Source organism: Homo sapiens, chromosome 3 (genome assembly GCF_000001405.40).
Source record: "Homo sapiens chromosome 3, GRCh38.p14 Primary Assembly".
NCBI classification, from domain to species: Eukaryota; Metazoa; Chordata; class Mammalia; order Primates; family Hominidae; genus Homo; species Homo sapiens.
In genome coordinates, this window is record NC_000003.12 from 183,964,117 (window position 1) to 183,989,837 (window position 25,721).

General features: G+C 45.4%; 1 protein-coding gene across 11 annotated transcripts in view; it reads right to left on the reverse strand.

Annotated features, from left to right (window-relative positions):
* The window catches only part of ABCC5 (ATP binding cassette subfamily C member 5), a 97,951-nt gene that overhangs the window by 44,183 nt on the left and 28,047 nt on the right, over positions 1-25,721 (reverse strand). For 5 of the 11 annotated variants that reach the window (NM_005688.4, XM_005247059.6, XM_011512314.3 and 2 more), the window contains 12 exons: positions 25,110-25,267; positions 24,456-24,611; positions 23,654-23,801; positions 18,658-18,891; positions 18,335-18,508; positions 17,611-17,758; positions 14,387-14,535; positions 13,401-13,508; positions 7,447-7,803; positions 3,579-3,650; positions 1,261-1,385; positions 1,069-1,141 (listed from right to left, as the gene is read on the reverse strand). In NM_005688.4, the coding sequence (NP_005679.2) occupies positions 1,069-1,141; positions 1,261-1,385; positions 3,579-3,650; positions 7,447-7,803; positions 13,401-13,508; positions 14,387-14,535; positions 17,611-17,758; positions 18,335-18,508; positions 18,658-18,891; positions 23,654-23,801; positions 24,456-24,611; positions 25,110-25,267 (1,902 nt within the window). Of the gene's footprint in view, positions 1-1,068; positions 1,142-1,260; positions 1,386-3,578; positions 3,651-7,446; positions 7,919-13,400; positions 13,509-14,386; positions 14,536-17,610; positions 17,759-18,334; positions 18,509-18,657; positions 18,892-19,636; positions 21,340-23,653; positions 23,802-24,455; positions 24,612-25,109; positions 25,268-25,721 lie in introns of those variants that run through there. The other 6 variants (XM_017005493.2, XM_047447100.1, XM_047447099.1 and 3 more) reach the window with 4 other exon arrangements.

A 25,721-nucleotide genomic window follows, 5' to 3' on the forward strand; every position in this document is an offset into this window, starting at 1 on the left:
GCCTCTACTTTGTCTGCTCAGTTCTGGCATCATCTCCTCTGAAATCTCCCCCAACCTCTTTCCCGCTAGTACCCCAAAGAGATGGGGCTCTTTTCATCAGATTATTTTGTGCCTATTTGTTTGGGTATCTCATCCTCTTAACTGTACACTTCTTTACGTGCAGATTATTGTCTTATTCCTTTATATTCTTAGTGCCAAACAGTGTCTGCACATGTCACTGGCACATAATAAACACCTAATAAATGTTACTAAATGATTAAATGAATAAATCAGTTGTCAAATATTCAATTAATTCAGAGGTTTTCAAACTGGAAGTTGCATCAGAATTACCTGCAGGGTTTGTTAAAACAGACCTTTGCGCCCCACCCCTAGAGTTTCTGATTCAGTAGGTCTGGAGAACAGCCTAAGAATTTGTGTTTCTAACAAGTTCCCAGATGATGCTGATGCTGATGCTGCTGATCTGGGGACATGGATTTAAGGACCTCTAAAGTAATTAAACCATTCACCAAATCTGGTTTGAGGGATTTAACTGAAATCAGCTAAATAAAGGTGCCAATCCCAGAGACCTTCAGGGCAATTCATGGGAGACAAGTTTTAACACTGAAGAGCACAAATTAGTTCCAAAGACAAGCCTCTGGAAACTGCTGCAGGGCAGAGACCCAAAGAAATGTGGATTTGTTCTAAGGGCTCTTTCTAATAGAAAAGGGCTCTCTACAGACTATCTGAGTTAAGGAGGTTGGCAAAATCAAGTTCAAGGAAGATGCTCAACATGCACACGCTTACTTGTAGTTTTAAAAATATCTGGATAGAATAAAAAACATCAACTCTGAGTCAACAATGGGATTTTGTTTACAATCCCCAAGACACAGAAAATACTTACAACCTTAAAACAAGCAGTGTTAACATCCCTGCCCTAATGGACACATGCTTTCCTAACACAAAGGCCTAATGACAGCCTAACTCCCTGTGAGGCTCTTCTCCCAAGCATTTCAGTTGCACTCCCAGGAGCAGCTCTGGCCCAGCTCTGCCACTCTGCTAAATGCCTGGTCAGGGGCGGAAGGCCTGTACCTCCGTCAGGTCGCTGCTGGGAAGAATGGCCAGGTCAGGCCTCAGGCAGCAGCTGTTCAGCACAGAGTTGTATCTGGAGGACACAAAGAGACAGCGTCAGGGACACGGCGGGAGCAGAGCCTGCTGACTAGGGCTGCCTTGCATCTCACGCGGCCAAGATGGAAAGCATGACAGAAGCCAAACATTCCTTGCCTTTCTTCATCATATTCCTTCCCAAACAGGATGTTGTCTCTCAGAGTAGCATTGAGGATCCAGGCCTGCTGGGCCACATAAGCGAAGGTTCCACTGATTGCAATGCTGCCCTCTAGAAGCGTCATCTAGGGAGAGAGACACCATCCAATGGCATCATAACTCAAAACCATCACCCTATGCCAACGGAACCCCCACCTTCCACAATGGAATCTAGCTCTGGTAATTTCCCGGGATGCTTTTTGGACCCAAATCCAGATTCCACCTTTAATTCCAAAGAGAGCTAAGCAGCAAAGAAAATCAAAGTTCTCCTTGCTTATGTGTGATGGGAGCTCAGCATAACCCATAACTTGAAGGCAAACACTTCCCTCTGCAGCCCATTTGCTGTGTGCAAACTGTTTAAATTAGGAGAAGCACAAGCAAGAGGTTCTTGCAGAATTCTCCTGGAGAGGATGCTGTAGGGGTTTCCAGCTAATCCCTGCCTCAACATGGGGGCAGGCCAACTCATCCAAGGCAATTACCTAGGATGCTGGCTAGACCAGTTGCTTCTATGAAATGAGGACCAAGGGAAAAAAAAAGTCCAGGTTAGACATCACCTAGTATTTATAATATATACACAGTGTCCATTTACCAATGATGGACCTTGCCTGCCCACAAGCAGTGATGAACCATGTGCTTTGAAGTTTGTGTTCAGTTGCAATGGTTTGATATGAATTGACTTATCCATTTTACCCCCTTCCATGATTTCTTTTGTTTGGGACTGATAGTAGACATTTGTCTTGGTTTAGGGATGCTACAGCTTTGAAGCAAAGTTTCACTAACCAGCCTGTGCAGTACTTGTTCATATAAGCTGGTCTTCTCAAACACCCTCACACAGCGTGTACACACACAGGTGTACCTACGTACACCACAAACTGGTAGCATTCTGATGTGCACTTCAAAGGGTTCAGAAGTCCCCAGGGGGTCTACTGTGGAAAGCCGGCACTTCTGGCTGCTGCACAAACACCGCACATTGCAGCGCTATCAACAGATGTAAACTACAGTTAAAGCAGGGCTGACCAGCCCAACCCGTTTCCCTGCCAGAGACAGGGTTGCCAGGATTTGTCCAGAAGCAAAGCCTGACTTGGTTTTCAACCTAACCACTGCCTAGTCAACCCTGGAAAAAGGAGCACATTGCTAGATGGCAGAGCAGCACTTACGAATTGACCTTTTCTTTCCTTCTCCCCCTCCCCCCATCTCTGTCTCTCCTCACTGGCCCTCCAAATCTGGTTGGTCATCATAAATCACCTAGGAAGTCTGGTGCTTTTTACAAGACCAATGGCTGGGCCCAGCCACTGGAGAGTGTCATAAAGCAGAAGGTGGAGGTGATGCCTGCCATGATCTGACTCAGACAGCCCCAGGCACCACCACCCTCAAGGAGGACCACAACTCACCAACTGTGACAGCTGATGCCAAACAAGACAAGAAAGCATTCCATAATCTGGGGGCTACAAAAGCACCCCTGCTCCCCCTCTGTTTCATTTCAATTCAGTGGACCTTATCCATCAGGGTGTAGAGATAATCATAAGTTTATGCTCATCTCAACCATCTAAGTCAAGTTAATTTAATTCTAATGTAAAAGCATGTGGGCACCTTGTTTTTTTTTTTTTTCTGGATTGTTTGATTCTAAAACACAGCAATGATAGTGTGTCTCAGTGGGATGACTCCGGCCCCATCCTGTCCCTCACTCTCAGCACTGGCCACCGTGTGCTGGGCCCTGCACGCTGTTCACTCCCTGCCTGGAGATGTGCTTGTTGTGTTCTCAAGGCCTTGCTCCCCACTGGACCATGAACTCCCCAAGGGCATGACTCTTTCAGGGATTAGGCAGAAAACAGAGGGGCTTTGCTTCTAGATCAAACCCTGACAGTCCTGTCTGACAGAGAGGCTGGGAGTGCTGGCCGCCCTGCTTCTTTACAGGTTAACTCTGTTGGCAGCGCTGCAGTGTAGGGTGTCTGCTCATCTCTTATCTCTGACATTTTCAATACACGGGCATACCTGTGGCACTCAATAGATACATGCTGAATGAAAGAAGGCATGAGACCAAATGGTTCCAGCTGGGACAACAGTCAGTCATCCATCAGGCGCCCACCAGGCCTCCTTCCAGGCAGAAGGCTGTGAAGGGGGAGAACTGGGGGGAACTGCGGGGGATTGGGGGCATACAATGCAGGCTGAGGGTTCATTTGTTTCCACCTTTCCTGACTCTCCAGGAAATTTGTTCGTTTTTCCTGAGACTCTTGCAAACCAGAGAAAGCAGCAGAAAAGGACAATAACAAAAATCTTACCTGGCCTAAAATGGCTGAAATGAGAGAGGTTTTTCCACTTCCCACACTGCCACAGATTCCAACCAGTTTACCCTGGACAAGGCACACAGAGAGGAGGGTCATTTAGAGACTACTAACCACTCATCGCTAAGGACTTGAGGAAAAACACATTAACTGTAGTCTACCCATACAGAACTGTCACCCTGATGACTCAGCAGGCCACTTACCTGTTTTCTCACTCATTAGCTGCCTATCTCATGGGTTTCTGTGGAGACACCTGAGATAACAGGAATGGAAGCCCTTTGGGGAAAGTAAATATGCCGCACACATTCCAGTATCCCACCGTCATTCTTAGGCCCAGCCTCTTTCCTATTCTGCTGCTAACCCATGTTCTTCATTTACTTGTTTTTGTCATTTTTTAGAAGACAGGGTAGGGCTTTTAAAAATCATTTTATTATTATTATTATTATTTTGAGATGGAGTCTTGCTCTGTCAACCAGGCTGGAGTACAGTGGTGCGATCTTGGCTCACTGCAGCTTCCGCTTCCGGGTTCAAGCAATTCTCCTGTTGGGGTTACAGGCATGCACCACTACACCCAGCTAATTTTTATATTTTTAGTAGAGACAGGGTTTCGCCATGTTGGTCACGCTCGTCTCAAACTCCTGGCCTCAAGTGATCCACCCACCTCGGCCTCCCAAAGTGCTGGGATTACAGGCATGAGCCACCACGCCTGGCCACCCATATTCTTTATTTACTTGTTTTTGTTGTTTGCCAGAAGAGAGGGCAGGACTCTTAAAAATCATTTTATTATGATTTTTCTCCAGGGTGTATACATAATTAATTTTCAATAAAAACCATGGACACTGTTGCATGCAAAACATTTCCAAAAATCTGAGGAATATTTATACCATCAATCCCACAAAAAAGTAGAACACCAAGTCTATGATTAACTGAGTATCCTTAGGCAAGATAAAGAGTTCTCAAAGTGGTGTTGAAAGTTTTCAAGGGACAGACAGATGACTTCAAAAGGGTCACTTGTTTACAACCCCGTGCCAGTTCAAGTGTCCCCAGGAAGGAAGGGAGAGTGGTAGTGTGGACGGAGCATGGATTCTGGAGGCAGATGGGTCTTTATCTAAATCCCAACTTCACTAGCACTTGCTAACTGTGTGATCCAGGCCCCGTGACTTAACCTAATACTGTGTCTGTCTCCTTCTTTGGACTCTGAGCACCTTGAGGAAAGGCAGTATCCTCATAAAACTAAGTACAGTGTCTGATAGTTGAACAAATAGTTTTTGACATGGTCCACGAGTACTGAATGGTTTACTGCCTGGTGGCAACAAGGAGGTCAAGTCACAGGTTCAACCTCTGCTCAGGCCAGTTAGATTTACATGAGAAAAATGCTATTCTTATGATTAAATGATGACTAAATGAGACATCAAAAATGAGAAAAATGCCTGGTGCACAGAAGACACTTGGCAAACATTACCTCCCCTTCTCTTCCCTAAAGCAAAGGCCCAGGGAGAATTAAGGCATCTCTCTTCAAATGGCTAAAGGTCTCCCATTGTCTGTGGGCTCTGAAGGGCAAAATGAGGGTCAACATACAAAGCAAAAGAATACATTTTAGCTGCACGTGTGGAATCATTTTCTAATAGAGCTGATAGCAATGTATTAGAGCTGCCTCAATAATCAAGCTAATAGTTACTAAATAAAAAGCCTGTTAGGCGTTAACTGAAGTAAGGCCAGATGCAGCAGCTCACGCCTATAATCCCCACACTTTGAAAGGCCAGGCAGGCAGACCACCTGAGGTGAGGAGTTCGAGACCAGCCTGGCCAACATGGTGAAACCCCGTCTCTACTAAAAATACAAAAATTAGCCAGGCACAGTGGCACGTGCCTATAATCCCAGCTACTCGGGAGGCTGAGGCAGGAGAATCACTTGAACCCGGGAGGCAGAGGTTGCAGTGAGCCGAGATCGTGCTACTGCACTCTAGCCTGGGCAACAGAGCCAGACTCTGTCTCAAAAAAAAAAAAAAAAAAAAAGTTAACTGAAGTAAAAACCTGACTTGCATGCCCTTCAATGACACTCATAGTTTCAAGTGGTGTCACTAAAGACTGTGTCCCCTTCTTGCTCATAGCTTTTAAGGGCTGGAAGCTTTTTGTCCTCTTCTCAGTCTAGTTCTGGATTGGCTTACCATGCCTCTGGTCAGTTGCTGATTTTCATATACACTGCATTCAAACCTCCTCCCTACTTCCAGTTACATGGACAAACATTTCTTACTACCTCCCACCAGCAACCTTGATCTAAGACATCCTCATCTTTCTCCCGGTTACTGTGGTAACAGAGCCTTGACTGTTCTCCTTGCTTCCTTGTCTCCCCTGCAGCAACCAGAATGATCCTCTTCATACATAAGTCCAATCATGTCATTCTGCTGTGAATCCTCCAAAGGCTCCTCTTCCCACTTGGAGTAAAGCTGAAGTCTCACCAGAGGCTCTGGCAGGCACCACCTCTGCCCTTGGCATCCACTACTCTCTCCCATGCTCATTCCACTCCAATAACAGACACACTCACCACTTGCGGCCTCTGTGTTTCTGTTCCTTTGGCCCGGAATGTTCTTCCCCACCCATCCCATACCCAGGTAGCTCTCTCCCTCATCTCCTTTGATCTTTGCCCAAATACTACTTTTTAAATAAGGCATTCCCTCAGGCAGCCTATTCAAGTTGTAACCACACCTGCTCCCTGCCCCAGCACACTCTCTCCTCACCCACCTTTTTTTTTTTTTTTGAGACTCACTCTGAGTCTCACACTGTGCCACCCAGGCTGGAGTGCAGTAGCGCGATCTCAGCTCACTGTAACCTACACCTCCTGGGCTCAAGCAATTCTCCTGCCTCAGCCTCCCAAGTAGCTGGAACTATAGGCGTACAGCTGGCTAATTTTCCTAGTTGTTGTAGAGACAGGGGTTCAACATATTGGCCAGGCTGGTCTTGAACTCCTGGGCTCAAGTGATCTGCCCACCTTGGCCTCCCAAAGTGCTGGGATTACAGGCATGAGCCACCATGCCCAGCCTCTGTCCCCTTCTGTCATAGCCCTTATCACCATCTGATATGCAATATATTGTATTTGCTCACGACCTGTCTGTGCCTGCTAGAATGTAAACTCCAAGAAGGACGGGATTTTTGTCTGTTTGGGTTTTTGTGGCTCTGTGCCCAGCCCTATCACAGCATCTGGCATGGAGTTTGATACTCATGAAATGGCTGTTGAATGAATGAATATATACACATCCGGGGCCCTCTAATGACACGGACCTGTGAATATGGTGCTGGTTCCGAAATACATAGTCTGTATTTTAAAAGCCTTGAACCTGGCATCTCTGTTCCACCATTCCCTATAGGAGGCCCTCTGAGACTAATCTTGTGCTACCTGGGCTGTGACATCATCTACCGTTAACGATCCTTAACTTATATTAAGAATAAATCATTACAACACAAATGTTGTCACAGTAGCACTGAGAATACCTATCATGTGCCAGGTATGATGCACAGCCTAGTGCACAAGGGCGCTCACAGACTTGTAACAATCAGAAATAATTGTCACAGCTCACATACAACTAAAATAGAATCCTCTTTGGGGAAAAATCCTGGAAAATCCTCTTGAATGTTTCATTTCCTTGCTTATAAAATGATCACCTCATAAGATTAGTTGTTATTCATTTCTGTTGCTAAATGCTTAGTTGGTTTTTTTTTAGAGTTAGAGCTGGTCTAATTTGCTCTTTAGTTCAAAATCACTCCTAGCCACAAAGCACTTTGTGAAAAGGAACAGCAGCCGCCTATTGGTGGCAGATCAGCATGGGGTGGTGGGGTGCGGGCAGGGAGGCAGGGGGCGGACCACTTACCTCTTGGATCTCCAGATCGATGCTGTGCAGTGTCCTCTGTAAGCGCAGGTGGCCCAGGTGGATGTGCTTGCCTTCTTCCTCTTCGGGACTGGGCCGCTCGTCACTGTCCAGGAGGAGGTGGCCTTTCTGCTCTGCCAGCACCGCCTGATGCTCAGTGCGCTGCAGCTGCCTCACCTTCTCTTTCTTGCCCCTGGAAGCCCTCTTGTCTTTTTTCATTTTGGGGGTCAGCTTGGGCGAGTTCTGGATACTGGAGTGGGAGGAGTCCCATGCCAAGGTGGCATTTTTCATCTCTATCTTGATGTGAGGACTGGCTGGTTTGTTCTTTATCATGTGAACCTCTTCCATTAGAAACAAACTCTGATAGGAGTTGTGAGAGAGGTGCAAAGATGAGACACTGGATCAAGACCAGGGAGACAAGCCTAGGGCGTACACTCACGTAGCAAAACACATCAGGCTATACAGTGGAAGGAAGCTGAAGGGCAAAAGGTAGCTCATTAGTGCAGCCCAATCTCAGGCCCATCAAGGGGTCACGGGAGTGTGGGGCAACCTCAAGAGGTCCAGGGGCCTTATCAATGACCCAATATTCCACATGACAAATTACATGCTAAACTGCCTTTCCCCCTCAGCCAGCCTAAAGCGGACCTAATGACATTTAACTGACTGGCACGTAGCCCCTTGTTCTAAGGAGTAGTAAAAAGCAGGTAGGAAAAGCAAAGGGCATGCTGACCTCCAGTACAGATGCTCACTACGTGTTTTCCTTCCAGACCCCTCCTGCAGAATGCCAAAGCCTGCCCACTTCCCACACTCACAGCGCCGCATGTATCTAGGAGTAGAGACTGTCACAGGCTTACATTGCTACCGTCAGAAAAGAGTATCTAAAGTTTCATCTACCGCAGAGAACATCTTCTTGCCAAGAAACTCTCATGTCTTCAAAGCCTTGCCTTGGAACTTGAGAGTTCAAACAACCAAAGGAACAGGCTTGCATGGAAGTGAAGGGTATCTCCCTGAGAAACAACCCTTGGGAAGAGAACAAGACACTTTCCTCCCACTCATTCCCAGAGACCCCTGAGTTATGTTAAAAGAAAAATAATTTTTTTTTTGAGATGGAGTCTCGCTCTGTTGCCCAGATAGGAGTGCAGTGGCACGATCTCGACTCACTGCAACCTCCACCTCCCAGGTTCAAGAGATTCTGATGCCTCAGCCTCCCAAGTAGCTGAAATTACAGGCACGTGCCACCATGCCCGGCTAATTTTTGTATTTTTTTGTAGAGATGGGGTTTCACTATGTTGGCCAGGCTGGTCTTGAGCTCCTGGGCTCAAGTGATCTGCCTGCCTCAGCCTCCCAAAGTGCTGGGATTACAGGCGTGAGCCACCGCACCCAGCTGAAGAATGAACTCTTGAAGAGGGAAATGTTTCTGAAATTAAGATGTAAAACACTGATCACAATAAATCACAGCCCAGGATTTTCCCGTAAGACTTTGAATCCACTTTTTTTTTTTTTTTTTTTTGGTGAGATGGAGTCTCGCTGTGTCGCCCAGGCTGGAGTGCAGTGGTGCAATCTCGGCTCATTGCAAGCTCCGCCTCCTGAGTTCACGCCATTTTCCTGCCTCAGCTTCCCGAGTAGCTGGGACTACAGGTGCCCGCCACCACGCCTGGCTAATTTTTTGTATTTTTAGTAGAGACAGGGTTTCACTATATTAGCCAGGATGTCTAGATCTCCTGACCTCGTGATCCACCCGCCTCAGCCTCCCAAAGTGCTGGGATTACAGGTGTGAGCCACCTTCTAACAATCCTCTTAAGCCAGTGATCTTCTCTACAGAATGCTATACCAGTTGGATTCACAGTATGATTTAAAATATATTTATCTTAATTTAAAAAAATTTTAAACATTACAAAATCTTTAGAGAAAAGATAGCTTTTAGGGTCAGGACCCTCCTTAGTTACTGAGAACCCCCCAGCTATCTTAAAGTTTGCAGGTGCTATTAAATATCATACATAATCCCTCTCCCCAAAAACAAACCCTTTCTCTCTTAGATTCTAAACTTCTAAGCTCTCCCTTAAGCCCCCGTCTCCCATTCATCCCTGATCCTATCTTCCCCGAAGTGTCATGATTCTAAACTTCTGAGATAATCTTCACTCTCGAGTAACCTTAGGTGTGGCCCCCGCTTGCTGAAATGGCTGCTGCTTTCATTTGTTCAAAGCCTTCCTGAGAGATTGAACTAAGAGTAACATGCCAAACATTTTGATCACCTTCACAGAGTAAAACCACATGCCGACAGAATTTCCATCATTTCTCTCCCTTAAAGAGTTATTCAAAGGATGAAGGTCTTTTAGGCCTCAATGAACTATTAAGAAACATGCCAGTACCTACTGGTTTTCACAGCTCCAGCCCCATGTTTCCTTCCTACTCCCCGCAGCCTTACCCTCCCTTCTACCAGGAGAGTTTCGGCTTCAGATCACTCTGCCCTGACGTGCTAAGAGGCAGAGAAGGGCCTCCCCATACTTGAACTTGTATCTACTTGAATTTGCACCTGTCAGAACAACAGAATCTTAGATATAACATAAACCTATAACCATATAAACCTATAAACCATAAGCCTCAACTTTATCACAGGACACTGACCATGAAAACACTATTCATTCACTAGAAGAATCAAATCAGAATGAATCTGTTGAGAACAGAAGAGGGGACTACTCACAGGGTTGCCAGATAAATATAAGATGCCCAGTTAAATTAATTAATTAATGTATTTATTTATTTTTTGAGACAGGATCTCACTCTGTCACCCAGGCTGGAATGCAGTGGCGCAATCTCAGCTCACTGCAACCTCTGCCTCCCAGGTTCATGCCATTCTCCTGTGTCAGCCCTCCTGAGTAGCTGGGATTACAGGTGCCCACCACCACACCCAGCTAATTTTTGTATTTTTAGTAGAGACGGGGTTTCATAATGTTGGCCAGGCTGGTCTCGAACTCCTGGCCTCAAGAGATCCACCTGCTCAGCCTCCCAAAGTGCTTAGGATTACAGGCGTGAGCCACCATGCCGGGCCCCCGTTAAATTTAATTCCAGAAAAACAATAATAATTTTTCAGTATAAGTATATTCCATGCAGTATTTCACTGGGTGTCCTGTGTCTGTATTTGCTAGAGCAAGCCACCCTATTCCACTGGTGACAATCAGTGCAGCTTCACACTGCCTTTCTACAGGTTATCAAATCAATAAATTACAGGTTACATAAATAAATTTTATATCTCTTTTCCTATTCTTTATGCATACTACCCAACAGGAAGCAACAAGTTCTCCTGCCATATGCACTTGCAGGGTAGGTGAAATAGAGAAAAGACTATACTTGCAAATCTGTCAGATCTCCAACTCCAATTTAAAAAAGAAAGAAAGAAAATGATGTAAAACAAGACACAGGGTGAAAAGCAGGGCTCTGCAACATCGTCAGTGAGTTTCAAGGTCTGTAAAATGAATCAAAGAAGCAAGTCTCATCCTTGTTATTCTATATTCCATCTTCTAAAAATGATGAGAGGGCAGATGCTTTTGGGGAGATACAATCCCAGGAACAGTTCTGTTGTTTTCAAAAGGCTGCCTTAGATGGTCCCCCAAGATTGAGGCAAACTTCCTTTAACGTACTCAGAAACATAATAAACAGTTGCCTTACACCTAAAAAACAGCCCCCCAACCCTCATAAAGTCAATGTAATTCTAATTAATAGACATCTGAAGATAAGAAGAAAGAACCGGCTTAGAGTTCGGGAGGAATTAAGTAATAAACACTCGTTATCTTTTTTTTTCTGAGACAGAGTCTCGCTGTGTTGCCCAGGCTGGAGTGCAGTGGCGCGATCTCGACTCATGGCAACCCCTACCTCCCAGGTTCAAGCGATTCTCCTGCCTCAGCCTCCCGAGTAGCTGGGACTACAGGCACACACCACCACACCTGGCTAATTTTTTGGATTTTTAGTAGAGACAGGGTTTTACCATGTTGGCCAGGCTGGTCTTGAACTCCTGACCTCAAGTGATCCAACCACCTCAGCCTCCCAAAGTGTTGGGATTACAGGCGTGAGCCACCAAGGCTGGCCATAAATACTTGTTATCTTGTGCCAAGCATCTAATTAAAAAAAGAATAACAAGGAAAAAAAGAGACTGAGACCACCAAGAGAAGTAAGATAGAAGGGGTCTAAAGTCTCATGGGGCATCAAATAGAGCTGTGGGTGGTGCTGCTTCTACTATTAATTCTGAGGCTTCCTGGAGAGAGGAGGGACCTATGATGTGAAAGCCACCTGCTAATCCAAGTCCTCACTAATAAGCAGGAGATGAGAGCCCTCGAAAAACAAGGGGAGGACCAACCTACACTACATGCCCTTACTTTATCCAAAGTGCTACCAAATCCATTCACTAACAAGAATATAGAAATGAACAGCAGGGAGAACTTATGGTCAAACATTTGCTTTCATCCACGACTGGTTATTGCGGATTCAGCAAAATAAAGCTCTGAGTCCCATTAGGCCATTTTTTTTCATATGACTCAGCTCTTGGTTTTCTAAGAAGTGGCCACGTTGGGGTGGGGGAGGGGCACATTCGAAGACTAGCTTTCTTCCTTTCTCTCTTCTCTCCTTCCTTCCTTCTCTCTCTTCCCTCCCTCCCTTCCTTTTTCTTTCTTCTCTTTTTGTAAGAAACAAACAAACAACAACAAAAAAAAACAAAAACACAGATAAGAGTCTCATTCTGTTGCCCAGGCTGGAGTGCAGTGCCATGATCATAACTCACTGCAGGCTCGACCTCCTGGGCTCAAGCAATCTTCCCACCTCAGCCCCCCGGGTAGCTAGGACTGTGGGCGCACACCACTGCACCTGGCTATTTTTTTATTTTTTTGTAGAGACGGGGTCTTGCTGTGTTGCCCAGGCTGGTCTTGAACTCCTGGGCTCAAGTGAGCCACCTGCCTCAGCCTCCCAAAGAGCTGGGATTACAGGTGTGAGCCACCACACCCAGCCAGGACTAGCTTTCTTGACCAAATAAAAGTCACCCGGTCAACTGTAAACAAGTAGAATACAAACAAATCTCGGGAACTGAGTTTCCATGTTTCTTAAGAAGAAAATCCAATTTGTTTTCTCCTGAACCTCCAAGATGATTATATTCATCCCTCAAACATGTGAGCTTCAAGCCTTCACATCACCAAAATTGCTTTCTTATTCCTCTCACTGGCCAATAAAGACAAGCAGGGACATAGGAGCTAATCTATGCAGTGGCAACATCAAGGAATTCCAGCCCACATGGCATCCCTTTTTTTGTTAAGTATTAACCACTATCAAATATCTATTTCTCTCCACCCTCCCAAATATACTCCCTTTTGTATCATGTATGTGTAGTATTCTGAAGGAACAAAGAACACAGCCAAGGTATGATCAACTAACCACCTGCAAGAAAAGAAGCTGAGACTTACTTAACTGCACTTCTCAACATGACCTAGTTTTATGACTATTTCCATGTAACTGCTTTCCCTGCATCGTGAGTAGCACCACAGGGCAGGAAAAAGAAAGTATCAAAAAGGATTCAGCATGTCAATCAATCAAAGTGACAGTAGCAAAGATCAAGGGGAAGATGCCCCACAGTGCTGGTCTTCTAGGTTTAAGCCACTTCAAGGCCCAGTGAGTTGCGACACATCCATGTCAGGCCCAGGTGGAAGGGGCTAGCTCTAAAGGGGAACTCTGCAATCCTGGGAGCCCAGATCATGGCCGTTCACAAAAGGTAAAAATTCACATTAATTAAAAAAGGTGACAAGTCTCATCCCTCAATTCAGTCTCCTCCACTGCCCCCTTTTTCTTACCAACTTGCCAAAAGGCCAAAGCCAAGCTTAAGCCCAGTGAGGCCAGCCTGGGTGGCCCCTTGAACAGAGCCAGCAGTTAGTTGTGTGGGGAGGGCTCCTGACACGGGGGCAGGGGAAGGAGCCACTTACCTTAAATCTGTCAACAGCCACTGAGGCTTCTGAGAGGGACTTTACTGAAAACGGTGTTACTTTCAAAGCAAAAGTCATGGAATTGAAGACTGTCACCACTGTGAAAGCCTGAAAATAGGAGAAGAGAAGAAACTGTGCCTAATGATGCTATGCAACTGAAGTAACCTGACACCATGAATTTCCTCTCAGGCGCTAGGAAGGCTGCAACTTCACGGTCAGCTGTTATTACAAGTCAATTACATTTTTTTTTTTTTGAGACGGAGTCTCGCTCTGTCGCCCAGGCTGGAGTGCAGTGACACGATCTTGGCTCACTGCAACTTCCACCTCCCAGGTTCAAGCAATTCTCCTGCCTCAGCCTCCCGAGTAGCTGGGATTACAGGCATGCACCACTATGCCCAGCTAATTTTTGTATTTTTAGTAGAGACAGGGTTTCACCATGTTGGCCAGGCTGGTCTCAAACTTCTGACCTCAAGTGATCCGCCCGCCTCGGCCTCCCAAAGTGCTGGGATTACAGGCGTGAGCCACCATGCCTGGCCACATTTTTTTTTAAGTAGAGTTTTTGAGACCTTCAATTAAAATTGTCAGTAAATATGAACCACAGGATGATCTGTAATTTCAGAATTAAACTCAAACTTATGTTGACTAAAAACAACTCATACACTATTTGTGCATAAGGGCTGGCTCCCCACTCTTCTGCTTCTCAGCTTAATCCCATGAATGAAAAAATACCTACTAATTCTTGGGGGAACCTCCAGGTCCAGTAAGGAGAGGACCACAGCATCATCTCCATATGTGGTATTTTTTTTTTGTTTGTTTGTTTGTTTTGTTTTGAGATGGAGTCTTGCTCTGTCCCCCAGGCTGGAGTGCAATGGCATGATCTTGGCTCACTGTAACCTCCACCACCTGGGTTCAAGTGATTTTCCTGCCTCAGCCTCCAGCAAATGTGGTATTTCTAAAATGTTCCCCATCCCTGAGGGTTCCCTGACCTGTGCTGCTGTCAGATCGAAGCCCAGGGTCATATGAACAGAGAAGGTCACCACGCTGGCAATCACCACCACAATGGGAGCCACACCCACAGTGATGCTCTGGAAGTACCCAGCTTTTTCCAATATCCGACGCTCCTCCTCGCGGATTTCTATGAATAAAAAGCAAGCCAATTTCAAAGCAAGTTAAAAGAAGCCTAGGGATGTTGTTCCTCCACCTCCAAACAAGACTCTGTAGGTCTCCAGCCACCCTTCAACACCTATGACTATCAACTCTACCACTAAAGCTGGTATAAAAGGCTGAGGTTTGAAATGGATCAAGTGACAGGAATGAATCTAACAGAAAGCAGTCACTATGTATGAACTCAATCATCATCTTCTATGATACCTTTTTCTGATTCTTCTTGTAAATTTCTTAGGTTGAGAAGGAATGAACACATTAATTGTATCTATAATTGGCAGTTGTGTTTGCTTACCTGGTTGTTGTTGACTTTTTGCCTAAGGAATTAATAGGAAAGACAACACAATGGCACTGGAGAATTAAAAAGGGAGGGACTAAGAGGCCAGGTGCGGTGGCTCATGCCTATAATCCCAGTACTTTGGGAGGCCCAAAGCAGGGGGAATCACCTGAGGTCAGGTGTTCGAGACCAGCCTGGCCAACACGGCAAAACCCCGTCCCTGCTAAAAATACAAAAATTAGCCGGGTGTGGTAGTACACGCCTATGATCCCAGCTACTTGGGAGGCTGAGGCCGGAGAATTGCCTGAACCTGGGAGGTGGAAGTTGCAGTGCACCGAGATTGCACCGCTGTATTCCAGACTGGGTGACAAAGCCAGGCCTTATCTCAAAAAAAAAAAAAAAAGGGGCAGTGGGGAGGGAACTAACATTTCCCAGAGTGCCTGCTGTATGTTGGCAGTGGGATAGAAGCTTCCATATAAAAATGCAGTAATGACAACCGGAAGAAGATAGGTGAAATACAATTTCTATAGGCAGAATGATTTTTCTTAAATATTTGCAAAATCAACCCCCATATTAGCAAAGCAACCATAGTGTACTGAAGACCGTGGAGCAGGAAGCAGAACAATAAGATACTTTTTTTTCAGACGAGGTCTCGCTCTGTTGCTCAGGCTGGAGTGCAGTGGCACAATCACGGCTCACCGCAGCCTCAACCTCCATGGCTCAAGTGATCCTCCCATCTTAGCCTCCCAAGTAGCTGGGACCACAGATGTGCACTACCATGCCCAGTTATGTTTTATTTTTTGTAGAGAGGAGGTCTCAGTACGTTGTCCAGGCTGGTCTTGAACTCCTGGGCTCTAGTGATCCTGTCTCTCCTTCCAAAGCGTGGAGACTAAAGGCATGAGCCACCTCGCCCGGCCAATACTTTTTTTTTTTTTAAGACGGGAGTCTCACTCTGTTGCCGAGGCTGGAGTGCAGTGGTGTGATCTCAGCTCACTGCAACCTCTGCCTCCTGGGTTCAAGTGATCCTCCTGCCTCGGCCTCTTGAGTAGCTAGGATTACAGGCTGTGCCACCACGCCTAGCTAATTTTTGTATTTTTAGTAGAGACGGGGTTTTGCCATTTTGGCCAGGCTGCTCTTGAACTCCTGACCTTAGGTGATCTACTCGCCTAGGCCTCCCAAAGTGCTGGGATTACAGGCATGTACCACTGTACCTGGCAAATACTTAATTCTTCTAAGAGGGTATACACTGACCTTAAAGGTATTACCACTGCCTAAGGCATTGGGAACTATCTTCACAGCTAGCTTGTAAGTCACATAAAAACACTGAACTCCTTACTTGAACATGTATTATACACCTTGGCCATGTCTATAATGAGTAAGAACACTCTTTTCAAATTAATACATACAGGTAAAGATAACCAGTCAGGGGCTGATGGATGAGGGAAATTTCAGAAAAAAGATCATAAAACTACAGAATCAGAGAGCCAGAAGGGACCAGTGGCAGCCATCCTGCCATCAACCTGCTGGCAGATGTCCATTCAGAATCCATTTGTTCCACTCTAGTAGAAACAAACTCACTGCTTAACAAGGCAGCCCCGTCCACTGCTGGGCACCTCTTGAGTGCTCATCTCCTCTGGATGCTTCTTAGCTTAACAGCCCTCATAAATCAAATGTAGATTCCAGAATTGGACATCATGTTCCTGAAGGTTACTCAATGAAAGGAAAACAACAGCTGCCTTGCTCTGAACACTGTTTTGTTTTTTTTTTTTTTTTTTGAGACAGTCTCGCTGCGACACCCAGGCTGGAGTGTAATGGTGTGATCTCAGCTCACTGCAACCTCCGCCTCTTGGGTTCAAGCGATTCTCCTGTCTCTGCCTCACGAATAGCTGGGATTACAGGCATGCACCACCACACCCAGCTTATTTTTGTATTTTTAGTACAGACGGGGTTTCACTATATTGGCCAGGCTGGTCTTGAACTCCTGAACTCAGGTGATCCACGTAACTCAGCCTCCCAAACTGCTGGGATTACAGGCGTGAGCCACTGGCGCCTGGCCTGAACACTGTATTTCTACTCCAACTATAATGCATTGACTGTTTCACAGCACTGGACTCAGCTCCTGATGAGGTTATGGTCCACCAACAGCCTCATCTCTTTTATTTAAATTAAGTATCTATGTGTTTGTTTTTAATTATCTACTACTTAAATTTCACCTGTTTCAAGGCACACTGGTTCAATTTGTGTTGAGATCTTTCTGAATGCCCCATCTGTGCCATTTCTCCTAGCTTTGTGGGCACTTACACGTTTGACAGAGCTAGGACCAGCATCCAGCCATCCTGACTCCCAGTTTACCTCAAGGGCCACAAACTATTTCCCGTGAAACCACAGAGTAGAGTGGGCAAAGGTGATGCTCTCAGTAGTAATTTGATATTGTCTTCTGTGAAAGCCTCATGACCAGGCTGGAAAATCATGGGCAGGATGAGAATATACACAGGGGGCTTCGAAACTGGATTATTCCTAACTAGCTGTGTTTTAACTGGGAAAAATCAACATTTTCCCAGGTCTCAATTTCCTCATCAGTGAGATGAGGTTATGGGTTCAAACCTCTAAGATCCCTTTTGAACACAAAGATTCTATGATATTATGTCCTACGATACTAGACACTAGTCCTAGTACGTAATGTGCTCAGAAAGCAAAGTGTGTGAATTATAAGACCCAAAGAATCCAAGGTCCTTCTACCACATGCACATACAAAATCTTTAAACTCACTTTGAACACTCTGAGAAAATGCTTTGACCCAGGCATACATTTTGATAAATTTAATGTAAGTAAGAACTTCATTCATCTTCTGGACACGTTCATCCGTGGCGGCCACGCATTTTCTCCTGAAATATGCTGTGAGCCGTGATGCAAACATCTGAAAGGAAAAGCGATGCCACGCCAAATTAAAGCTCATTCAAACTTGAGAACTACCTAATCTGCTTAAGGTCATTCTCAATAAAATGAGCATATAATCCTGCTTGCTAGGATGGGCCAAATGTTATGTAATCGTACTGTCTTTAATAAAAGTGACCTATTGAATTGTAATAAAACATTACTGAATTCTTATCTCTTTATAAGGCAATGAAGACAAGAAAGTATTTATTCTCAATAGTGACCACAGAGACTGAGTGCTTCCAAAGGGGAGGCAGGAGGGCCCTATCACTTAGCACCAACTCCAACGCAGTGACTCAAACACTCCTATGTCAAGTGGGACAGGGTTCACCAGCTGACCTTCTCATTCAGACTCTCTTTCATGCAAGTGACACCTTACCTCCTCTCAAGTCAAAATTCTGTCCCTATAGAGCAAGCACTATCGAGCTCTAGATTGAACCTGCTTTGAGGAAATTTCCAATCAGAGCTGTGAGACCTCAGCAATGCCTACTATAACCCAATGGAAGTAACTCATCTCCTAAGGAGAAGCTGCCAGGATTCAGCTGGGAGGCTTACTCACCATTGCTGGGTAAAAGAGGATAAAAACAGCTGATCCCAGGAAGCCTGTTGGTCCCAGAATAATTACATTATAAATCATGCCTAAGATGGCAACAACGGGTCCTCCAGCCAGCAGGCTGCCAACGGCTGCTGCCTCAAACATTCTCTGCCCATCGTTGGAGCAAATGTTGATGAGCTATAAGATACAAAGAGTAGTGAGGGGACCCTGCAAGGACACGGTTCATTTGTCTCAGGAGGAAGATAAAGGATAAGGCAGGGCCCTAGAGGAATGAACCTCAAGCTAGGAAGTTGCTCTCTGCTGTGAAGCAAACACCCCTCACTCACCTCACCCAGGGATTTCTCTTTAATGTTCTTTAACTTAAGGATCTTCTTAAATGCCATGGTTAGGATGGCCCCCCGCAAGCGGACACCGGTTCGGTAATTCAATGCCCAAGTCAGTGCAAGCGACCAAGACCGCACGATTTCCGTCAGGAGGAGGCCCAGCACTAACAACAAGCTGTACTGCAGGTTAGACTCTGTTGCCTGGGTATACTCCAAGAGGTGTTTCACCATGAAGGCCTACAGGGAGAGACACACACCACTGTCAACATCTCCACGGCACTCACACACAATGCCATAGTTTTATGTTAAGTTAGAAAGAGTAGGCAGCTCCACTCAGGGACCAGTGCGCAAGCAAAGCAAAACTTTGGAAGACCCAATTATTACAAGCTGCCTGCAGTAACTTACTCAGGGCATTCTGCAGGAGCTAGGTCTAATTGCAAACTTTCTTCCTTACAGGACATCATCAAAACCATTACTCTTTCTAATGTAACATAAACCTATCAATGAGCTGAAATTAACTCTAAACACATGGTCATTCAAAAGTATAGCTTTGACCTTATTCCAGTATCTCCACACATGGATACATTTGTTTACATGAAATTAAGACCTTTTTTTTGGATCGTTTCAAACGTGCTTATTTGATAAAAAGGAACAGTGTACCTACAGTTGTACTGGGGAAGAGTGAGAAGTGCATTTGCAAAACATTCCTGAAAATAAACATCAGCAGTTTAATAGTACAGAAGAGAGCAAACAAAGCAGGCTATCAAAAATCCAGAGACCCTCCCATGGGCCCGCCCCACTCCCGACTCCCTCCCAAAAATGAAAACATGTTACCTCAGGTAGCATATGTCTAACACCACCTGCAGAGGGAAGGCGGCCAGCCCCCAAGAACCACCGAGTGCCACCTCCAGCTGAGGTCCTGCAACGCCGGAGCACACACTCACACAAGGCACATTCAGCAACAGTATTAAATACCAGGAAGTGGGAAGGAATGTACTTTTATTGAAAATGAAAAAATATAAAAGTACCATCTTCAAAGAGCATCTCACAAACACTGTACAGCAGGTGAAGCATTGCAGTAACATACATTGAAACATACAGAGTCGAGTTATACAGGACTAGCCATCTAACAGGTCATCTGGTCTCCGACGGTTGTTTAACGACACACAGTAGAAATAGAGAATAGAACCCATATCTGTTTCCAGAGTCCAAAGTAGTATATCAGGCTGACAGCACTCAATCAGTGAGGGCTCCTGAGGTTGCAATGATTCTGCAACGGAGTAGATTCTCTAGGAAAAAAGACCTTGCTGCTAAGGAAAGAGAATTAAAAACAAAACAAAACGAAAAGCTCCCCAAAGAGGTACTCTGCTCAAAATGGCTGGTGCTACTGGTGCACTAAGTTGTGAGGAATTACCTCTGCTCGGGACAGAATAAAAAATCCTAGGCCTCAAGGAAAAACTGGTGGCATCCTTCTGGGTCTTTTCAAGTCCTTGCATCTAAAAATCAATCTTGACAAAAATAAAACAAAAAACCACAACAAAAGAAAGCCAAACCAATCCCCCACCCTAAAGGAAGAAAAAAATTGATGTGAAGCCCATCCACCCTTCTACCCAGGTGCCTTATAGCAAAGGTGACTGCAGCTGTAAGTCAGAGCTGAATGACAGACAAAAATGGAGGCCAGACACCACGGTCTGGAGGTAGCTACGCTGAATTCCAAAACCCAGACTCTCTCTGGGTTAATTTCTTGTTTTTCCTGAGATTAAATTAATACCAGATGTCCACTAGGTCCTAGGAGATCCCCACCAATCAGATTTTTGCCAAGTCCCAGGAAATAACCTGATCAAATAGGAGACTTCAGATTCCAAGAACTACTGTATTCCACCTCTCCCCTCCCTCAGATTTTTAGGTTTATATCCATTGCTTGGGTCACCACTGTATACAGCCGGGTTGCTGGTTTACTAGCAAGAAGATTGGCTTCTTTTCCAGTATGCAATCCAAAATGTGGAACTGAGTCACAGGGCCAAAGCCCCCTTTTCCTCACGTGAAGCAACTCAGTAAGATGGCGGTGCAGTGAAGCCTGTTCCCACACACCTCGGCACTGATGGAGCAGTCTCCAAAGGAAGGCTGAAAGGACAGCAGGTGGTTGCCTTGGGCTCCTTCCTTCCCATACCTTTAGAGTGCCATTTTTCAGCACTGGGTAATAGCATCAGCGCCTCCCAGATGGGAGGAGCAGGGAAGGTAAAAGACATAGTGAATGTTTACACTATGCGAAACTTTCAAAGGGGGGGAAAAAGAGGAAACAGCAGATTAAAGAAGTTCCAACACATCGGGTTTTTAAATAACAATGACATTTCAAACCATTTTTTAGGGGATAAAGAAAAAAGAGGTTTTCATGAAAAATCCAACCAAAATTTAGTTTTTAAAAAGTTACAAATGTATCATTTAAATCTAAACAAACTGGAAGAAAACTTGAGACTGTTAGCATAGCTGTCTGGCTGTGGAAAGCATTCCCAGTGAATAAACATTACCTTACCTGAACTCTTGGCGAGAGATTCTGCCCAGCTTGACTCTCTCATTCTGACCGCAGAATACAGCCATCCTGAAAATTCTAAAGAACAGCTTCTGTCACTGGTTCCACTACAGAGAGACTCCCCCCAAATCCAGATCCTGACAGCACCAAGCAAGCTGCAGGTGGAGAGAGGTTGGAAGGGTGGGAAACTTACCTCTCTAAGGGTTTTACACTGTCCTTTCCCCAAAAGGCCCTCGAGCAGAGTTAGCATTCACCAAGAGAGAGCACTGCAGGAGGCGGCCTTCTCTTGCAGATCTACAGTGCGATGCTAATTCTTTATACACAGATCATAGGTGAGGCCTGGTCTTTTAGAACTGTCTTAATCCAAAAAGGCCCCAAAGCATCTCTGTAAGTGTAGCAATGTGGCTACACAGGACCACACTGTTAGAGATTCTGGTACTCCATTAACATTACTATGACCCCCGGGCACCCTGCACATATAGCGGCAGTCCCCACCGGCGTCACCAAAACCTTGGATCATCTTGGTGTATAAATGTCAGCATCAGCTGGCTGGCAGGTAAAAACAAACAGAACACAACAACTTGACTGTGTTTCATTTGTTCTGATTATGGCTACCAAGGTTCGGTGAAACCCGAGCAGGGACAAGAAATAAAAATGCCATTTTATTTGGGGAGCCCGTATGTGGGCAGTCTGTCCTTACACAGGTTTCTGTAAGAACAGATTAAGCTAGTTTGAAAGTCGTGCCAGATTAGAAAACTTGTAAAAATCTAAAACGAAATGTTCCTCAAAAGGATTTAAGTCCACAGACAGGAGGTTTACTCACTGCTAGTACTAATCTCAAAACCAGCCTGGTTTTTCAATTTCCAATGAAAAAGAAACATATTAGAATTGGAGTTCCAAAAAAGGAAGTGTGTATTGTTTACACTTTCAAATCTATAAAAGAGATTATGGATGAGTCCATTACTTTCTCAGCTCTAGGGCAGAATCCCATGAAATAACACTGGCCTTAAGGTGCTCTTCCCTGAAACGGCAGAGAGAAGAAAAAGCATGCTGCTGCTTTCCTGTTAAAGGAGGGCTCTTAGCTTTCCCTGGCAGCTAGAACAGTTTCCTAGAGGTTAGTACCCCAGTGTTCTGCACCATAAATGAGAGAATAAGGAATATACGGATGTTCAGGGGAGGGACTGTGAAGCCACCAAGCTGAATACGGATAGGTACCATTTTTTTCAAAAAATAAAAAATAAAAATCCCAGCAATCCATGGAATTTTTTTTAGAGGGGAGCCAATGAAGTTCTTGCATTGGCCAAATGGAATCAAGAAAGCCCATGATCACTTTATTCGCAAAGCCTGCATATGGTGCTACCCAGAGGAATGAATTCTATGAGATCAGAGCAGCCACCAGCCCTGTAGTGAAACAATGACAGAAGCTCTTCTTGGGGGAAGCTGGCTCTATGAAAATGTTTGCCATTTTGGTAAATTACATAACACAACATTTCAGTTACATGGTCCTTCTTACTTAAAACTTTTATATAAAGTATGTTAGTTGGTCAATTATTAATAATATAGAAACCCAATACCAGAAAAGTAGTGTTCTCTGCTTCAGAAAAGAGATCAAAACTTTAACAAGAGGCATCAAACGTTAAAAAAATAAAAACAAAAACAAAACTGCAAATTAGTTTTACCTAATTGCCATGCATCTTAGGCACATACTTACCAAAACCATGAACCTCCAGCTTACCCACATATGGAAAACGCACAGTACAAGCAGTACTACTGCTCCGATGCCTCAAGGCAAATGTGTAGAGAATAGATTTAATCAAGGTCTCAAGTGTAAGGCAGCACAGCAGGTGTAAGAAACAGGTGCCCAGGAAACAGAGTGAACGTCAAAGGCTCTCTTGTCTACTCTGCATCAGTACAGACTGGGGAAAACCACGGCTGCCACCCCAACACTTGCCACACAGTCACACTATAAGCCAAACTTAAACGGACTCCAGGTCAGACTCTAAAATCCTCGACAGTCCTCTAGTTTTCTCAGGGCTTATTTGCCACAGACCTGCCAAACATGTGATAACTGCCTCCAGGCACTTGGTATGTTCCCGGTGCTGGCTCACCAGCCCGGGCCACACAACGTGCTCTCACCCACTCATAGCACTGCAAGACACATCTGCCTGCACCGACTGTCAGTTCATGTTAACACACAACCGAGAAGCACAGTCCTGTGCAGAACTGGAGTCAGTTCCATTTCACCCCCACCCAGAAATCAAGCCAGTTCCATTTCTTCTCTGGCAACACTGCCCTTTCATCCTTCCAGCTGTTGCCAAAATCCATCGACCCCTTTCAACAGACCTGAAGGCATCTCTAAGACTGCTACCTAGCCCAAAGCTGAGCACAACCTCTGCAACAGAATAAGAGTGTTAGAGCTGGCCGTGGCCGGGCCCCTGGAGACTGTCGGAAAGGATGGTTAGAACTTACTGGTCCACTGAAGCCAGCCAGCTGCGTGATCATCAGGCACACGATGGACAGGATGAGCCTGGTGCGGCAGAAGATCCACACAACCCTTCGCAGGGAAGCAGCGTCTGGCCCAACTTCATTCAGCTCTTCTTGCCACAGTCTCTCTAGTCTTAACAAGGGCACACGTCCTCGTTACACATCTCCTCGGGGGAAAGGCACACCTAGCTCCCCGCCTGCCACCACTTTTTGTCTCCAGGTTTTGCCACCACTCACACAAGTCTCTCCTTTAAAATTATGTACATAGTCTTCACCTTCTGGGAAAAAATACCCTTCCTAGGGAACTACACATTTACCCTGTATAAGGAGCCTCCCAGGATACAGAAAATGATGAGAGCAAAAGCCTTTCTTTCCACCCAGGAAAATGATCCCTGAATGCAATTTGTGAATAAGAACTTTCTTTTTCAGGGGCCCCCAACCCTTTCTGAAGGTTCCTGTGGTAAAATGTAAAGTTGTAAACTACATTTTAATCATGACAATCAGCTACCACAAAAATGTATTCTGTCACAAGGCAGCAACATAATCTCCCTGCAGACTCAGGAAGAGAAGCGGGGCTGAGAGAGAGAGAGAAAGCCCGTGGTTAAAACAGGATCAAAGGTGAAATAGGAGATAAAGCAAAAGAGCAAAGAGAAAGTCATCCCCAGGCCGCCCGCCCTCCACTGGACAGCTCGGCTCTTTAAAGACACAGAGCTGTGGACTTCACACTCCTAGCTCAGGCCCTGCCCACCCGGCATGGGGGAGATGAGGGTGGACCAGAGGCGCCTACCTTCTGCAGTTCACGTCAGAAGACTCGTGCTTGGACAGAGACCACACGTCTTCCATTGAGAGCTCCCCCTTCTTGTGGGCCACACGGGCCAGAGAAGAAAGCCACGAAAAAGTCATACAGGAAAAAAGCCCAGCATTGTCCACTGGGTGCTGGTGTCTAAGGAGAGAAAACCGAAATCACAAAGCTATCAACACGCACGGAGAGGGCAGCCCGTGTTTAATGGACACTGTTTAGTGAACACAGCTCTTAGCTAAAGACCAGTCTCCCCAGATGATCTAATCTTAGCCTGAATGTTCTAAAACGGCTTTGATGGGCCGGGCGCGGTGGCTCACACCTGTAATCCCAGCACTTTGGGAGGCCGAGGCGGGCAGATCATGAGGTCAGGAGATTGAGACTATCCTGGCCAATATGGTGTAACCCCGTCTCTACTAAAAATACAAAAAAATTAGCTGGGCTTGGTGGTGGTGCACGCCTGTAGTCCCAGCTACTCAGGAGGCTGAGAGGCAGGAGAATCACTTGAACCCAGGAGGCGGAGGTTGCAGTGAGCCGAGATCATGCCACTGGCGACAGAGCAAGACTCCATCTCAAAAAAAAAAAAAAAAAAAAAAAAAGGCCTTTGATGCTTCACTGTCATCACTCAGCACGGCATCTTACTTGGAAGTAGTCCGGATGGGCTTCAGAGCACTCAAGCCATGATGGTACTTTCCCTTGGGATGCTCCTCATCCAGGATTCTGAGCTGAGAATGCATGGAGGCATCAAGAGAGAGGCCCTCGGCTCGGGCTGCTGTTTCCAAGGCATCTTGGCATTCCAACTGTTCCAGCAGATAGGGAGAAAGGCAAGAGCACAGTTAATACACAGGCGAGAGGCAAACGGAACTGATGAAACAGCTCAAACTGCAAACTGGACTCATCTTAACTGAGAAATTCCAAGCAAGGGTCAGGAGGTTAAACACTAACTTTGTATGATTTGAACCCATTGGGGAACATTAAGCTAGATATTTAAAAATTTTAAACAGTTTTCTTTTTTTTTTTTTTAGCATCTTTAGGTTTTACAGAAAAACTAATCAGATAGTACAGAATGCTCCCATATACCTCTGTACCTCTCCCGTCCTCCTCATCTGTTTTTCCTATTATTAACATCTTCCATTAGTGTGGTACCTTTGTTACAATTGATGAGCCAATACAGATTCATTATTAACTGAAGTCCATAGGTTACATTAGGGTCCGCTCTTTGTTTTTTTGGGTTTTTTTGAGATAGAGTCTCCC